Source organism: Homo sapiens, chromosome 7, assembly GCF_000001405.40.
Source record: "Homo sapiens chromosome 7, GRCh38.p14 Primary Assembly".
Classification (NCBI taxonomy): domain Eukaryota; kingdom Metazoa; phylum Chordata; class Mammalia; order Primates; family Hominidae; genus Homo; species Homo sapiens.
Window position 1 is genome coordinate 36,894,250 of NC_000007.14, and position 14,916 is coordinate 36,909,165.

General features: G+C 43.0%; 1 protein-coding gene across 15 annotated transcripts in view; it reads right to left on the reverse strand.

Annotated features, from left to right (window-relative positions):
- The window catches only part of ELMO1 (engulfment and cell motility 1), a 596,421-nt gene that overhangs the window by 41,344 nt on the left and 540,161 nt on the right, over nt 1-14,916 (reverse strand). For all 15 annotated transcript variants that reach the window (NR_038120.2, NM_001206480.2, XM_011515654.3 and 12 more), the window contains one exon: nt 605-768. Coding sequence is in view for 14 of the 15 variants with exons in the window: in NM_001206480.2 (NP_001193409.1) it covers nt 605-768 (164 nt within the window). In the remaining variant the exon portion in view is untranslated. The remainder of the gene's footprint in view (nt 1-604; nt 769-14,916) is intronic.

Genomic DNA, 14,916 nt, shown 5'->3' on the forward strand with positions numbered 1-14,916 from the left:
TTGCAAGTGGCATTCCTTGCAAAGTCCTGTGAAGTGGGGCTTGCTGCCTCCCCACTGTAGGAATGTAGGTTCACAGTCATGAGGGCCATATAGCATGCTCCGATGCCAACCAGTGCCAACAGGGCAAAGAGGAGGTAGTTCACTCTCTTCCTCTCAAGCTCTCACTCCCACTCATTTAGATTCATGCTACTTTCATTTTCATAGTGCTTTAATGAATGGGCCTCACTCTGGCTGGCTCACAAGGTCTTGCTATTCAAAGGGCACCCACATGAAATATAGTTTTACTGGTCAAAGAGAAAAAAAATTGTTCCAAGTGTTGGAAAAGGTCCAAACTTTTAATCTACAAATCCCTGGAGGACTTGTCACTAACAGGGCCAGCTCCTGGTTTAGATCCATTCTTCCAGCAACTGGCCCACTCCACTCAGCCCAGCCCTTCCTCAAGGAGCTGCTGAGACTCCCCTAACTAAATGGAGATACTTGGAATGTCTTCTGCTGGCCTTCCCTGAGGAGCTCACAACACAGCCCAGCTTCATGACAGGCGGTCATTCTAGAAATAGTGGGTTAGAGTCTTTTGGGAGATAGAAGTCAATACTAGGTAACTTACAAAATCGGGCGGGACTGGAAATCTTCCTGGTTCATCCTCTCGGACTGGCGGATTTTCAGGATCTCAGTGTAGCTCAGGTTCTGCAGTTTGCTCTTGAACTGGTCCAGGGAGCTAGGCTTGGTTGTAAGTGCTCTCATAACCTGCTCCTTCACCACCTGCATTACCTGAAGATGAAAGGAAGACCATCATTTTCCTGGGGGCTGACCTTTCCCATTCAGAAAAGTCTTTCCGAGTTAAGGGCTCCCTGCTTCCCTGGTGCCCTCTGCACGCATGCTCAGCATTAACCTTGAGCATGCTTTTCCAAAACAGTCAACTTCCATTATGCCCATCTTCCATTTTCTCTTGCATTGCTGGAACACAAGGAAGGAAATGGATTGATAACAGGGAACTGGTGGGGTGGGGAAGCTCAGGGTGGGAGGTGTACTCCACTTGCTTGACACATTATGTGACTGCTGCTGACTCAACACTGTAAACAATGCTAACTCAAGAGTCAGGAATGAACGAAGGCCAAGCAGCAGCTAAAGCCCTGCATAGTAATTATTTTTTTCCAGGAGAAAATCGCTGAGATACAATTAACTGTGGAAGTTTGGCTGGAGCTGGTTCAAATGAATGTGAACAGATACTCACACTCCCCTCTCCCAGACTGCTTTCGCCATGTAGTTAGGGCTTGAGTGTTCATACTAATTACGCATTTGGAAATGTACATGTGATATTGCCTCTTTGAGCCTGGCACTAAAAAAAGAGGTTTATTAAATTAGAACAGACATATCCCACTGGAAGCTTCAAGAAAAAAGAAGAATACTGTAATTTTCTGCCTCAGGACAGTGCTAGCCCACAAGGAGGCAATTAACCACTGCCTCTATTAATGTGGGTTCATCTTCATCAGGACGCATACAGCACGAAAAGACCAGAAAAAACACAGAAGCATCTCAGAGCTTGCTGCTTCTTTTTTCACTCTCCATTACAGGTGATAGCAACAAGTGATACCATTTATAGGTATCTATGTGCCAGATGCTGTGGTAGGTGCTTTATCTATGTTTTCTTTCTTTATCCACTCAAACCTATGAGGTAGATATTACCATCAAGTCCACTTTACATATGAAGAAACTGAGGCTTTGAAACTTTAAGAAACTTCAAAATCATACCATTGGTCATTAAGTGGCTGAACTGGGACTGGATATCAGGATTGTAAACACCCGACTATGCTGCCACCCATGCCACCATTCTTCGTGTCATTTGGGAACTTAAAAATAAGACAAACCACAGATGCACCCTGCTATATGTTGAATTCTGTGCTAGGCAGTTTGCTGTTTATCACCTTATTTAATCCTCCCTCCAATACAGTGGAGGAGGTGCTAGTATCACTATGTAAAAGATAAGGAAACCGACTGAGAAAGGATTGATGACTTGCCCCAAGTCACATATATGTAGTTGAATCCTAGGATCCCAAGCAACCCACGAAGATGGATTTGGCATAGATTTGATGTTGAACGAATATGCATATGATATATTTCTTGCCTTCCGTGAACTAATGGTCTCATAAGAAAGGTGGACATGGCCAAGGATCATTATAATAGAAGTGCAGAAATGATAGAGATGACAGACTGATGGACTCTGTTGGCAGGTAGATAGGCTTTTCATTGAAGACATTTCATGGGAATGGAAATAGACAGATAATCTGGAACACCACTGTGTATTAGCTGCTTTGAACCTGGGTTGCATCTGAATTGGAACGAACTGCATAAGCATTGTTTCATGCCCCCAGCATAATGTCATACAGGCAAATTTCCAGTTGATCTTTCACCAGATCTGCTGGTTTTTTGTTTGTTTTTTTTTTTTAACTTAGGCAAAATGCCAAATTTGGGATGCTTGACAAATTTGGAAATTGTGATCATCTTACATCATGTGGCATAAATGATTAAATTTGGTCAAGGTTGAACTATAATGCTTTGCTGTATCATATGACGGGCACCATAGGGGTGCTGCTTTGCCCACTTAGAGAGACTTAGAATTGAGCCAAGGAGATCATTACTGTTTCCCAATGATATCTGGCTTTCTTGTGGGAGGCTGGACATGGTGAGAGACAAAGATATAGTGAAAAGAATACCAAAAATGAAGATATGATTTTTAAATAGAATCAGGTTAAAGCTAAGAGTTATAGAGTGACCTCCACTCCCCTCATTTTACAGATGAAGAAGATGATTCCCTCATGTCATGTGTTTCTTAAGGGGCTGTCACAGAGATGATGGTGTTTACACCACATCTGCCTAGACACAGCACTGGGCCTAAGTGGGCACGTGACCTGAACTGACCAATCAAAATCCTTCCCCAGACTTTTCTGCCACGTCTTGAGGCAGACCTGAAGCATGCTCTCTTTCCCTCAAATTGAGAGCTGTGAGACTATGTCCCTTCACATATAGGAAAGGGGAAGATAATGAGACCAATGTCAGTAGTAGGACAAAGAAAACAGACGTGTGTGTGTGTGTGTGTGTGTGTGAAAGAGTGTTAATGGTTAAGCCTTGTTCAACTGTAAAGGTGACTCAAGCCCTGCATTTCATTGTTTGGTTACAAGAGCCTTTTCTTTTTTTTTTGTAAGATGGCTTGGATGATAGTTTGTTCCTGTCACGTGCAACCAAAGAATCCCAACAAATACATATGGTGAAGTCCAAGAGGAGGACCAGCTGTGGGGCTGAGATTGTCCAGGGAAAGGGAGGAGTAGGAGAAGGAAGCTGGATGGAAATAGCAAAGTTAATTCAACAAGTGACTTTTAAAAATCGCCTGCATTTACAGGCTCATGGGTGCACCTCTGCAAGGAAATCATGATGATCCCTTATGGAATGTGGGGAACTCTTTAACTCCTATTTATAGATTAGGCTTAAAATCCACTCCTAGAGCCCCATTCCTCTAGCTTAAGACTTTGAACCTTGCTAGATGCAAGAATACATAAGTAGAGCAATCCTTTGAATTTTCCCCAAATCACTTATAGTTCAGTTTGAAGAAAGTATAGAACTTTTCCTAAGACTAGGTTGATAGGCAGAAGGAAAAAGCAGGCACCTGGCCCCAGAGGAAGGGATATAAGCAGTGGGTATAAAGCACAGGACAGAGGTTGGTGGAGTCAAAGACTAGCTTCACCTACTTCACTTCACAGTTTTGTTGCCAACAGCCCTGAGAAGTTCTATGGTCACTCTGCATGTCAAGGAAAATAACCTCTGTGAAAGGTATCATTAAATTTTTTAAGAAGACAAAAGAGTTACATAAGTCAAACATTCCTCTGTGCCTTTGCAATTTAGCTACAAGGTTTACAACTGATAGCTTTATGTCTCTGTTAATGTTTCACATGTGCAAGACATTCACAAATCAAGACATTCACAACCACCATCCTTAACTCTATCTTCTTTAGAAAACATCACACCCTTTACCATTTGTTTGAAAAACCCACAGACGGTGTTGCGGAGACATCAGAAAATCAATGGAATTAAACACAGACATCAAAGAAAGCACGCTCTTAGAATCTGCATTTGTTGTTGGTATTGCCCCATCATTCAATCGATGTCTGGACCATGTCAGTGGTGTGTTTCTGAAGTCTTCTTAGCCCATATTTTCTGTAATAATGTTACACATTACAAAAAAAGTGAGAGTCCCACAAGACATTTGTACTTCAAATGGAGAAATCCTTTTGGCTCCTTGGAAGACCGGGTTAAAGGTACAAGCACAGGAGGTTCCTAAATGGAATCAAGCATTCTGGCAAAGTCCACCTATGTCCCCTGCTCTCACTGTTGGTCATGTAAATGCGCTCCTGTGTTTTATTGCAAGACGTACTGAGGCTCCACGTGCTCCTTGTCTAATCACTTCTCCCATCCTGCCTTTAACCCACAACCTTCATCCAGCATCATTTATCCATTTCTTCAACAAATGTTTTGTGAGCACCTACTCAGTGCAAGGAATGACGCGACACTGGAGGCCCTGTGCCGGATGAGCTCTCAGCCTGGGACAGTGGAAAGACACATACTTGCCTCACCCAAGGGAAGACGCGATGTCACAGGGGAGCAAGGGGTCAGGTGTTCACTCCATGAACACTCATGGAGGCCCTCCCAAAGGGCTGAGGGCATAGCACCAGGGCTTTAGCTGGGGCTGGTGGAAAGGCCACATGCAGACAGGCTGAGGTGCAGGGGAGGGGCCATTCTTGGTGACAGCAGCAGCCTGAGTGAAGGCTTGGAGGGGGAAGGAGAACATAGCCATGGGTGGGGAAGTGTTCAGCGGTCTTGTTTAGTTGGAGAAATGAGGGAGCTGCAAGGTGTGGTTGAAAGGCAAGTTGAGTCAGATGGGGGATGGCTTTGATGGCTAAAATGAAAAATTTGGATTTTTTTGTTTCTGTAACCAAGGATATGTCACTAGAGGACTTTGGGGTCTGTGAAGGAATTTGATAATATAAAGTATGTTGGGACGCTTACAAAGTAGTCCTTATTCCTGCTCTAGTTGAGGCAAGGAGGGGATGTTACAGAAGTCTGCATGGCTGAGACAACATTTTGCTTGGAGGATGAATGGGAGTTACTCAGGTGAAGAAGAGGGAGAAGGGAATTCTAAGCAGAAGGAGCAGCATGAGCAAAGGCAAGGAGGTAGGAAGTACATGCTTCAAGCATGAAAGAAAACATGCTTTTGGAATCTACATTAGTAGCTTTTGGCAAACAGACAGGTACTAGCTGCAGTATGGCTTCTCAGCCTTTAGAACCCAACACGTGATTTTGAATCCAGCATGCATGTTTCCTGGGGCTTTGACCTTCCTTAAGATACTTAATCTCTCTCAGACTCATTTTTACTATCTTTACTCATCTTTTTTTTTTTTTTTTACCACTCCTAAACTAGGAGTACTAATCATTTAGAATTCAAAAAGTTTTAAATTGGATAATGCCCCACATCCTTTATGGTACATACTGGATATCTGGCAAATGTAAGTTCCTCCTTCTAAGCCTTAGTTTGCTCATTGTAGAGTGCTAGTAATAATACGAAATTCACAGGGTTGTAAAATCTAAAGAAAATATTATAGCCAAAGTACCTAATATACTGAATAGAACATATTAGACACTCAACAAATGTCAGTTCTGTTACAATCCCAGAAGGAAATTACATATGTAAGAAGCTTCTCCTATAAAAATATTTTGGACAGGGTATTCCTGGGCCACACTTGCATCAGCTGGCCACTTGGTAGGAATGCAACTTTGTGGGCCCACCCTAGATCTACTGAATCAGAAATGCTAAGAGTGGCACCCAGCAATCTGTGTTAACAGCTCTCTAGGTGATTTTAATGCATGCTCAAGTATGAGAACCACCGATTTCAGCAAATATCCAGCACCCCTTCTGAGTCTTCCATATGGCATCTACAACTTCCAGCAAGTCTTGTCATATCACCAGCAAGCAGTGAAGCTAGTTATTGGTGTACATTTCATGCTGTCTAGATTGTAAGTCCCTGGAGGGCAGGAACTATTTCTTACTTGTATGATGGCCCATAGTACTTAATACAATGTATCCCAGAGTGTAATATGGTTGGTATGAGCAATGTCAAAGGCTTTTAGGCTCCCACCTTTGATCTGTAGATTGACACAACAAATAAGTCCTTAGCAGAATTATGAGTCTGCCAACAAGGTTTATAAAGCACACTTTCACAAAGCCAAAGAACAAAGCCCGTGGCCGTGGGATGGCATCTTAGGGCTCCAGAGGTCATTTTGGGCTTGCTTCCAGGGCAGAGTTGGAAGGGGATAGATCTACAGCCAAGTGGAGGGTTTCTGGAGAAGGTACAATGGTGTATGCTGCTGGGCACTGCCACTAATGGGTGGTCAATACTTACAAAAAAAGTACAATCTACCCCCAACCAGTGGTGTCCATTAAATTGATTTATCTTCACAGTGACGAGAAAAGGCTGTCTTAGGAAAAACAGATGCCAACCCAGTCTAGCTAAAAATGACTCATGTGGGGGAGACTTTATTGCTGGACCATTTTTCTTCCCAGGAATGTTCCTTACGCACAACAAAAGGACTGAAGGCTCACAACAACCAAAGAATTGGAAAGATTCTGCCTGCAGAGGGGTCTGGGGGAAGAAGACCCTAAGTGCTCATGTGTGGGAAGGATAATTTCCCAGAGGCCAGGGATCGCTTTGGGGCTACACTCTAAGGGTACAATGTGGAGAAATGGCCTTGCCCAGAAAAAGTGTCAGAAGTGAGGGTACAAACTGATGGCTTACCTGGTAGGGACAATTATTGATCCCTCCCTGGCCTACCTCCATATAGAGGTCTTTAAAATTGGGTCAGCTTCCGGAAACTCAAAATAGTTTCACTTTATAGTTTTGCCAGATCAGGGAGTGGAGTACCTAGGCCAGGCCATGCATGCAGGACATTTTGCTGAGTGGTGTCGTGCATATTAAAATGAAGGAGAGAGAAAATAAAGGTGCTGTCTGGGCTGAAGGAGTAGCAGTTGAGGTTTCTGAATTTATTTTAGGACAATGAGGCTTAGACAGGGGTTAGCAAACTTCTGTTAAGGGCAGATAGCAGTATTTTAGTCTTTGTGAGCCATACAGTGTCTGCTGCAATTACTCAAGCCTACCATGGCAACTTATATAATGACAGACAATATATAAGTGAATGGGCATGGCTGTGTTCTAATAAAACTTTATTTACAAAACACAGGTGGTGGGCTGGATTTGGCCTGCAGCAGTAGCTTGCCAATGCCTAGTGTAAAATGAAAACAACACCTGGCTTTATAGTTAGGCAGAAGTCATTTCAAAGTCTGGTTCTGTCACTTACAAGCTGGGAAAATCACTCAACTTCTCTGAACCTTGGTTTTCTTATCTATAAAGTAGCGGTAATAATCTTTAATTAGGATTAAGAGATGTAGAGCATTGCACCCAATATGTTATAAGGTTCCCTCTGAATCACAGTCCTAGACATCTTATCCAAAAAAAAAATAATCCCCTCGCAGCTTGCAAACAACTTACGTATCTTCACAAGATGACTCTGGGTGTTTTATAATACATGCAGGGTGGTTCAAGATTATATTCAGGACAAATCGAACAGAATCGGTTCCGACAGATTAAAGAGAGGTGTTTTCATCAAATGGTATTCTCGACTCTGCCTGAATGGTTTCAGGGCTTGGAAGATGCTCTGGCCTGTCCTTGCTCTTTTCTGCCTCACCTCTCACTGTGGTTCCACCACTGCAGTCCCCTGGTGAAGGGCCTCCTTGTCTAGGGTCCTGTGGGGTCAGCCTTAATGTAAATGGAGAGAAACTGCTTTGAAATCACAGCTCAGCCAGTGTGCAACCTCTGGCTCCTCTCAATTTCATCATGTGTCCTCAATTATACCAGATGAATTTGAAACACTTTATTCATTAATAAAAGCAAAAAAGCTTCTCTGCATTTCACAAAGGATGTGTGGTCTAATCGTGGCATCCAGTAACAAGAGAACTCAGCAAGTCATTAACTTCTCCTGCCTCTGTTTCTTCAGTGTGTCCCTAATGGCCCTCTGAGCTCTAAGCTCCTGTGAGCATCTGTCTGAAGGGGTGATGAGACCTAATTTAGAGCCAAAGCCAGTGCTGTGCTTAATGTGGGCAGTGAGGTCCTTGTAAGTCCTCCTCTGTAGGATGGCATTTCACAACCCAACCAATGCGAAGCTTACGGGGCATCACATCAAAAACGAAGTTAAGTGCCATGAGAAAAATAATGGTCCACAGCAGACTGAAACTTTCTCTATTGGTTTTCTTCTTCCTGAGTTATTCTTGAATGCAAACCACTGACAACCCAAGTCTTGTTCTCTGGGTGCCATATACCTGGATTTGTGACCATCCGTAACTCTGAGGGTGTCTTTGGTAAGTGATGGCAAGTGATGTAGCAATGATCAAAATAATGAAACTTCTTGAGCTTGGGAACCTGCATGTTGACGAAAGTCAGGAATTCTGCTCTGAGGATCAGAGTTTTCAGGAGTGGTGGGATGTTGACTTTGCCTCTTGAATATCTGTTCCTTCTACTTCATGTCATTCTCATTGACCTCTCCCTGGACCCTTGCCCTATTGCCTTTCCTGGTTTACCCAACAACCTTCTGACTTCAACTGTGCCCCTTCCAGCTCCTCCTCACTCCAGCCAGCTTATTTCCAAAATGCAAAGCTGATCATATCATTCACCTGCTTAAACCCTGCAGGGGCCCAGCATTGCCTCTTGGGTGAAGGCCAGCCTCTCCAATGCATTGCCGTCTACCTGCCCATCTCACAGAGACGTCCTTACCTGGCCAAGCCCTTGCACCCCACAATCTTGTCTCACTAGGATTCTCTCAGTGCTTGAACTTCACTCCTGTGCCTTCATTCCTGCCCTTCCTCCTATCCATGACTATTACCTTCCTTCTAGCCCCTGCTCATTTGTCAAGCCTAGGCCTAGATGTTACCACCCTTTATCATTCTTCCTGACCTGCTGCACTTCAGCCAAAGTCAGGGTTCCTGTCCCCATTCTCCCATCACAGTCCCATCATAGCACTGACTGTACCATAATGTAATGACCTGTGCCCTCCTTTATTACTATCTCATCTCCAGAGCCTGCACAGTCCAGTCACAGAGTAATGATTGAGAAATTATCTGTTTAATTTATGAATAATGGGCTCATCAAATGACTACCAGAAAGAAATAGCCTCTAAAATCAGTAGTTCTCAACATTCACTGTATAATACAATTCACAGGATGTCTTTGCCTGGCCTCATCCCTTGAGATTCTGACCCTGGAATGGGTTCTGGACATGGGTCATGTTTTGCAAAGCTCTCCAGGGGAGGTGCATGCACAGCTAGGGTGGAGGAACACTGGTCCGAATTAGGCAGCACAAGAAGGTAGGAAGGAGGAATGACTGCAGTTCCAGCGAAAAGGGAGAAAGGGCCTGCACCCTTCCCTCTGTGCTGCCCAATGTGACTTACAGATGCCAACCAAAGAGCTGAGTCCTCCGCTTGTTACTGCCCACAGTTTTCCTAAAGCTTGATCTTCAACTGCTCCCGACAGCACGGATAGGATTGGTACTCTCACTGGGGACAGTCAGATTGGCGGACAGGGGACTGTGCCTGCTCTCAGCCTGCTTGGGCGGGTCCCTCAGACACCACCTGCTACTTGAGGCCAGACCACTCCCCCTGGGCTGCCTCAGTGAGAAGCATGTGGAGGGCATCAGGCTACCTGGATCAGGCACTGTGTAGGGACCTGCTTTAGCAAGGGCAGCCAACATCTTCCAAAGTAGCCCATACCTCCTTGGGCAGCAGTGATGGTCAGTGTTCCCAGAATCTCCATCAGAGCTGGGCAGCAATGAGTGCCCACCCTGAGCAGGCAGGCTTGTGGCTGGCAGTGTCCAGGCAGCGCCTGGAGAACCTAAGGACAGGCTGTGATGAAAGTATAAAAGGTGACTTTTCAAATGTGCCTCGAGAGCCAAACAGATGGCACTGAAGCAGTTGGGAAGGGAGCTGCTCCCAGTGCTGCCACTGCCTTGCTTGGATTTGCAGCTTCTAATGAAACAGGAATGGATGGCAGGGGATAGCGGTGCTCAGGCAGCTTCAAGCATCCTGAGAATCTGATCATAATCCAAAACAGGAGTGTTGAGGGCCTTGGTGTTAGCCCCCTAAATAACTAGTTATGCAATGTCTTACCCTGCAGTTCAGCACAGGTGCTCACTGGGTGTTGTCCCACTCCTAAGACTCAGACACAGGCCATGAATAACTGCCCTGCACCTCATGAGAAAGCACTTTAATTTAAGGCTCAAGGCATCTTTATAATGGGTAAAAATAAATAAGCAAAAACGTTAACCAGCAATTCATCTTAAACTCAATTAGTGCTCAGTTGAAGAACAATGTTTATGCAAGCAACATCCTTCTCACTTTCTTTAGCATCTGCAGGGAGCTGATCCAAAAGAGGAGACAGAAAAGGTGAGGTTTGGGGTCGTCGCTTTCTCTTTGCAGTCTGCTCTTGAGATGAGAGATCAAGAGGCAAACAGCCATGTGACAAAGCTGCTTTTCTCCATTTAAATAGAGAGTCAAATTGAAATACAGCAATTGGGCTAAATTTGCTGGTTAGCTAATCGAAGGACTTGGCTGGACAACAGGAAGCTATTTTCACCAGTGTCTAATGGAGCCTGCCTCAGGCAAAGCCCAAGCAAATCACATTAGTGGGTGGCATTTAATCCACAGCTTTAAATAAACATGTCAAGCAAGTCAGTTCCAAACATGTGACCTTGAGGAGACACGGTGGGGGAAAAGCAGAAAGAAATAGAGTTTCTTTTCTGGAAAACTCTTTCACCAACAGGATTGGGAGAAAATGGCTACAAATTTTTAATAATCATGCTACTGTTGGTTTTTCTAATGCCTGTTCAAATTTATCCATACTTTGCCAAACATGGGGTGAAAACAAAGCCTTTTACAAATCCTTCTGTAGTTACAAGGAATGACCCTCCCATATGGAAGGTCTCCTAAACTACATGGAGTAACTCCTGGGGTGCTGCTTTCTTGCACCTAAGTTCTGCCTGTCCTTGGTGGGGAGGGGATGGTGAATTCACTTCCCTAGGAGCTCCCCAAAATCAGGGGAGGAATTCCATTGAAGAAGTACCTGAGACTGGATGGATTTTTCTTTTCCAAGTTACACAATCATGATGCCAAAAAACAAGATGCTAGGAATGGTTAGCAAATCCTTATCGTCTTTGTTAATGAATAAATGATATCCACAGGCATCCCTTTCAACATTCAGGGTGTTTACCAACAGATCTGATACTCAATCACTGCCCCTTCTTCACTCAACTCATTGGTATGGCCTGAAAAGAAGGAGTCAGTGGTCACTGTGGTGATCTCTCCTCAATGGCTATGAATATTGGGTTTTACCCAATTCATCTCTATGTTTCTGGTATTTAATACCAGTTTTATAAGCATCTGTGGAGTGAATGAATGAATGAGCTAAACAGAAGATGGAGAAGAGGAATATCAGTGGATACAGATAAATTAGCCTTGAACTCCTCTAAGATTAGTTACTACAAAGAAATAAATGAAAAGTCCATTGTCTCATATCAAGGGTAGAACCCGAAGCCCCACAAACTTAGAACTGCCAGCCTGTTTTGCATAAGCTGTTAAATAGTGACAAATGAAATGGGAAAACCTGCCCCTCTGGAAAGGAGATTTGATAAACTTTTCCTAAGCAGACTGCTCAAGCAAGACCACAGGGGAAATGAGGTAGGAAAAGCAGGTCTGGTTCCCATAAACCAGCTCTGCCATCAGGCAAGGCTGCTGAACTCAGAGGAAATCGAAGACCACTCCAGCAAATCACCCTGGGAGGAGAGTACAATCAACCAAAATGAAACTGTTCATGAACTTGCCTCAACAGACAGACCAGGCAGTGGAAGTGGCCACAAAGTTGAACTTCAGAGCCTACTCGTCAAGATTCTGTGATATATACAAGAAAATATTATGTTTTCACCCTTTTAGCACAGATCAAACTGTGTCATATTTTAAGTGGCCCATTCTTTGTTGAGAAATTGAAAACACCATTTTAGTTTTCAAATACATTCAGCTGAATTATTAATGAAATATTGAAACAATACATATGTCTTGATTGTCTACATTTTTTCTAATAAGTTGTTGATGCCTGGTATTATGTTAGAAGCATTAGAAGTATACTCAGGCCTATATTCGCTCAGCTAACATTTACCAAGACTAATATGTGCTAATCACTGGGTGAGGAGGTGCTGGGAGCAGAGAGAATAACCAGACCAGTGTCCACCGCTGAGAAACTCAAGCACTTAGGTGAGGCCAGGTGCAGTGACTCATGTCTGTAATCCTTGCTACTCAGGAGGCTGGGGTGGGAGGATCGCTTGAGCCCAGGCTGCAAGTGAACTATGATGATACCACTGCACTCCAGCCTGGGTGACAGTGCAAGACCTCCCAAAAAAAAAAGGCGCTTAGAAAGTTGCTGTGTAAACAAATTATAAGAGTAGATCTCAGTAAGTGCTATTATCAATACAATTTAGGGGCAGGAAAACAAAGTGATTTATTATGCACACCGTTTCTTTGCTTTTAGAAATATATGTCCATTCTTACCCTATTGCTTTAACAACAATATATCTCAGAGTGCAGTGAAATTATTTATTCACTACTCGTCTCCCCAGCAGGACCTTGAGCCCTTTAAAGGAAGAGACCATGCTTCATTTGTCTTTTTATGACTACTGAATTTTAAAATCCCTCATACCTGGAAAATGTCCCCTTTGGTCCAGAAACTGAAGGTCAACTAGATTGTATTTCTAGAGTTATGTGCAAACAAAAAAAAAAATTCTGGCAAGTCTTCATGAAGGCCAGGGACGAATCCCTGTGATAGTTTTAAGCAGAGGGAAAGAGAGGGTTGAGAGAGGAGCAGTGATAGATTAACTCTTACTAACACACTGCTGTACCAATGTTCTGCTGTATTTCTCCCAAATGGTTGAAAATTGGGACACCCTCATAAATCCCTAGGCCTTTTCTCTTCTATGGCTGGTTATTACAGTGTCCCAGGGCAGAAGAGTGCTTTCCAAAGTAAAGTAATTGCAAGCCATTTATTATGTTTAAAGGGGAACCTGTCACCCACCACAGCTACAAAACTCAGACAATTAAAACAGCCCAGAGTGCCCTGACTCTGCAAAACCTGGACAGTTCCTCAGTCGTGTGAAGTCAGTGACCCCAAGCAAGATCTGAAAAGGTTCTTGTGTTTCTCCACTCCATCCCTCTTCCTTTCTGCTCCTCTGTTCTACCTCTCACAGCTGTGAAGCCAGTTATTGCAATGGTTTCCAGAAATCTGCTGGGTCTCCCATTCTCTCACCCGAATGCAGTCCCTTTCCTTACTGATGAGTCCTTTGGAGGACACAGAATAAACAACAATTATGTGGCACATATCCCACCACTCCTCTCTCCCATGCCAATGGCAGACATCACTAATCTATCACGGCACTTCTTTTTTCTGCTGAACCTGGACTCTGTCTGCAAGTAGCCACCACCAATCCGCTAAATTTGGCATTCACAATGGCACTATCCTCCATCTCCTATGTTGGTGGGCACTTAGTTAATCTTACCTAACACACAGGACGGGTCAATAACTTTGGATCAGGTTTTCTTAGAAGTCCCAATAAGCACTAACTAGACTTCCTTGAGGACTAATCCAAGTGTTTTTCCGGGCCTGAACTTGTGTTCAGTTTTATGTCCTTGTGAAAATTATTTGACCCAACAGCTAAACAGAATTTCTATATCACTTCCCATCTTGGCTGCTGAAGTCAATACTAACACCTCTGACAATGATGTGCTGGTTGTTGTAAGGACATAGTTATGGGTCCTAGAACAGTGCCAAGCACTCAGCTCAGAAGGAGCTTGTTGAATGTTTGTTGAATAAACTGAAATAGTGAACAAATTCTAGACCTACTGATGTTTAGCACAACCACCATTTTCCTTCTTTTCAAATTTCAATGATTTTGTAACTAGAAAAAAAATCTCTGACTATAATCAATGTCTAAGGAACTTTCTTAGAATTATAATTTGGGTGAAATTACTAAGGATTTTTTAGAAGTAATGTTTATTTATAAATCAAAAATGTTCTTGCTACTTGTTTATTAAAAACAAAATGATTTCCAAAAGGATATAATTTGTATTAGAGTTTTGTTATATAGCAAAGCCAATGCCATGTTAAGATTTGTTATTTTTTTTTTTAAGATAGTGTGAAAGAAGGGAAAAAACGGCATACATCTTGTAAAGTGACAATCAAAGCCGGCTTCAAAAATAAATAAATTTTAAACTACATAGTGTAATGGCAGTTCTCAACTTCTTATTTAAGAAGAGCGTACATCTTATGTTGGACCTTACCATGTATCTCATCTTGAATTAGAAAACGTATGTTTAAAAACTGAAAACAAATTCAATACCCACCCTTTTTCCCACCTAATTAGGTACAGTATCAAGTGAGTTGGGTGCATATAAAGCACCTCCTATCTGCTAGAGGCAACAGAATGCTGACTATTAGCATTTCCTGGGTGTTTACTAAGCATGGGCACAGTGCTCTAAGCTTGGAATCTTTAAACTCATTACATTGTCACAAGAATCCTACCAAATAGGGACTATCCTTTTTTTTCAGTTGCAGAAAACAAGTCTCAGGGCATTTATACTGGTAAATGACAGAAGAGAGACTTGAATCCAAGTTCTGTAATTAGAAAGCATATGCTTTAAACTATTACAATGGAAACATGGAGCTGAAGTTGACTTCAGAATGTGAGAGTTGAATGAAAGATGTTTTTAACTTTAACCTACGATTAATGA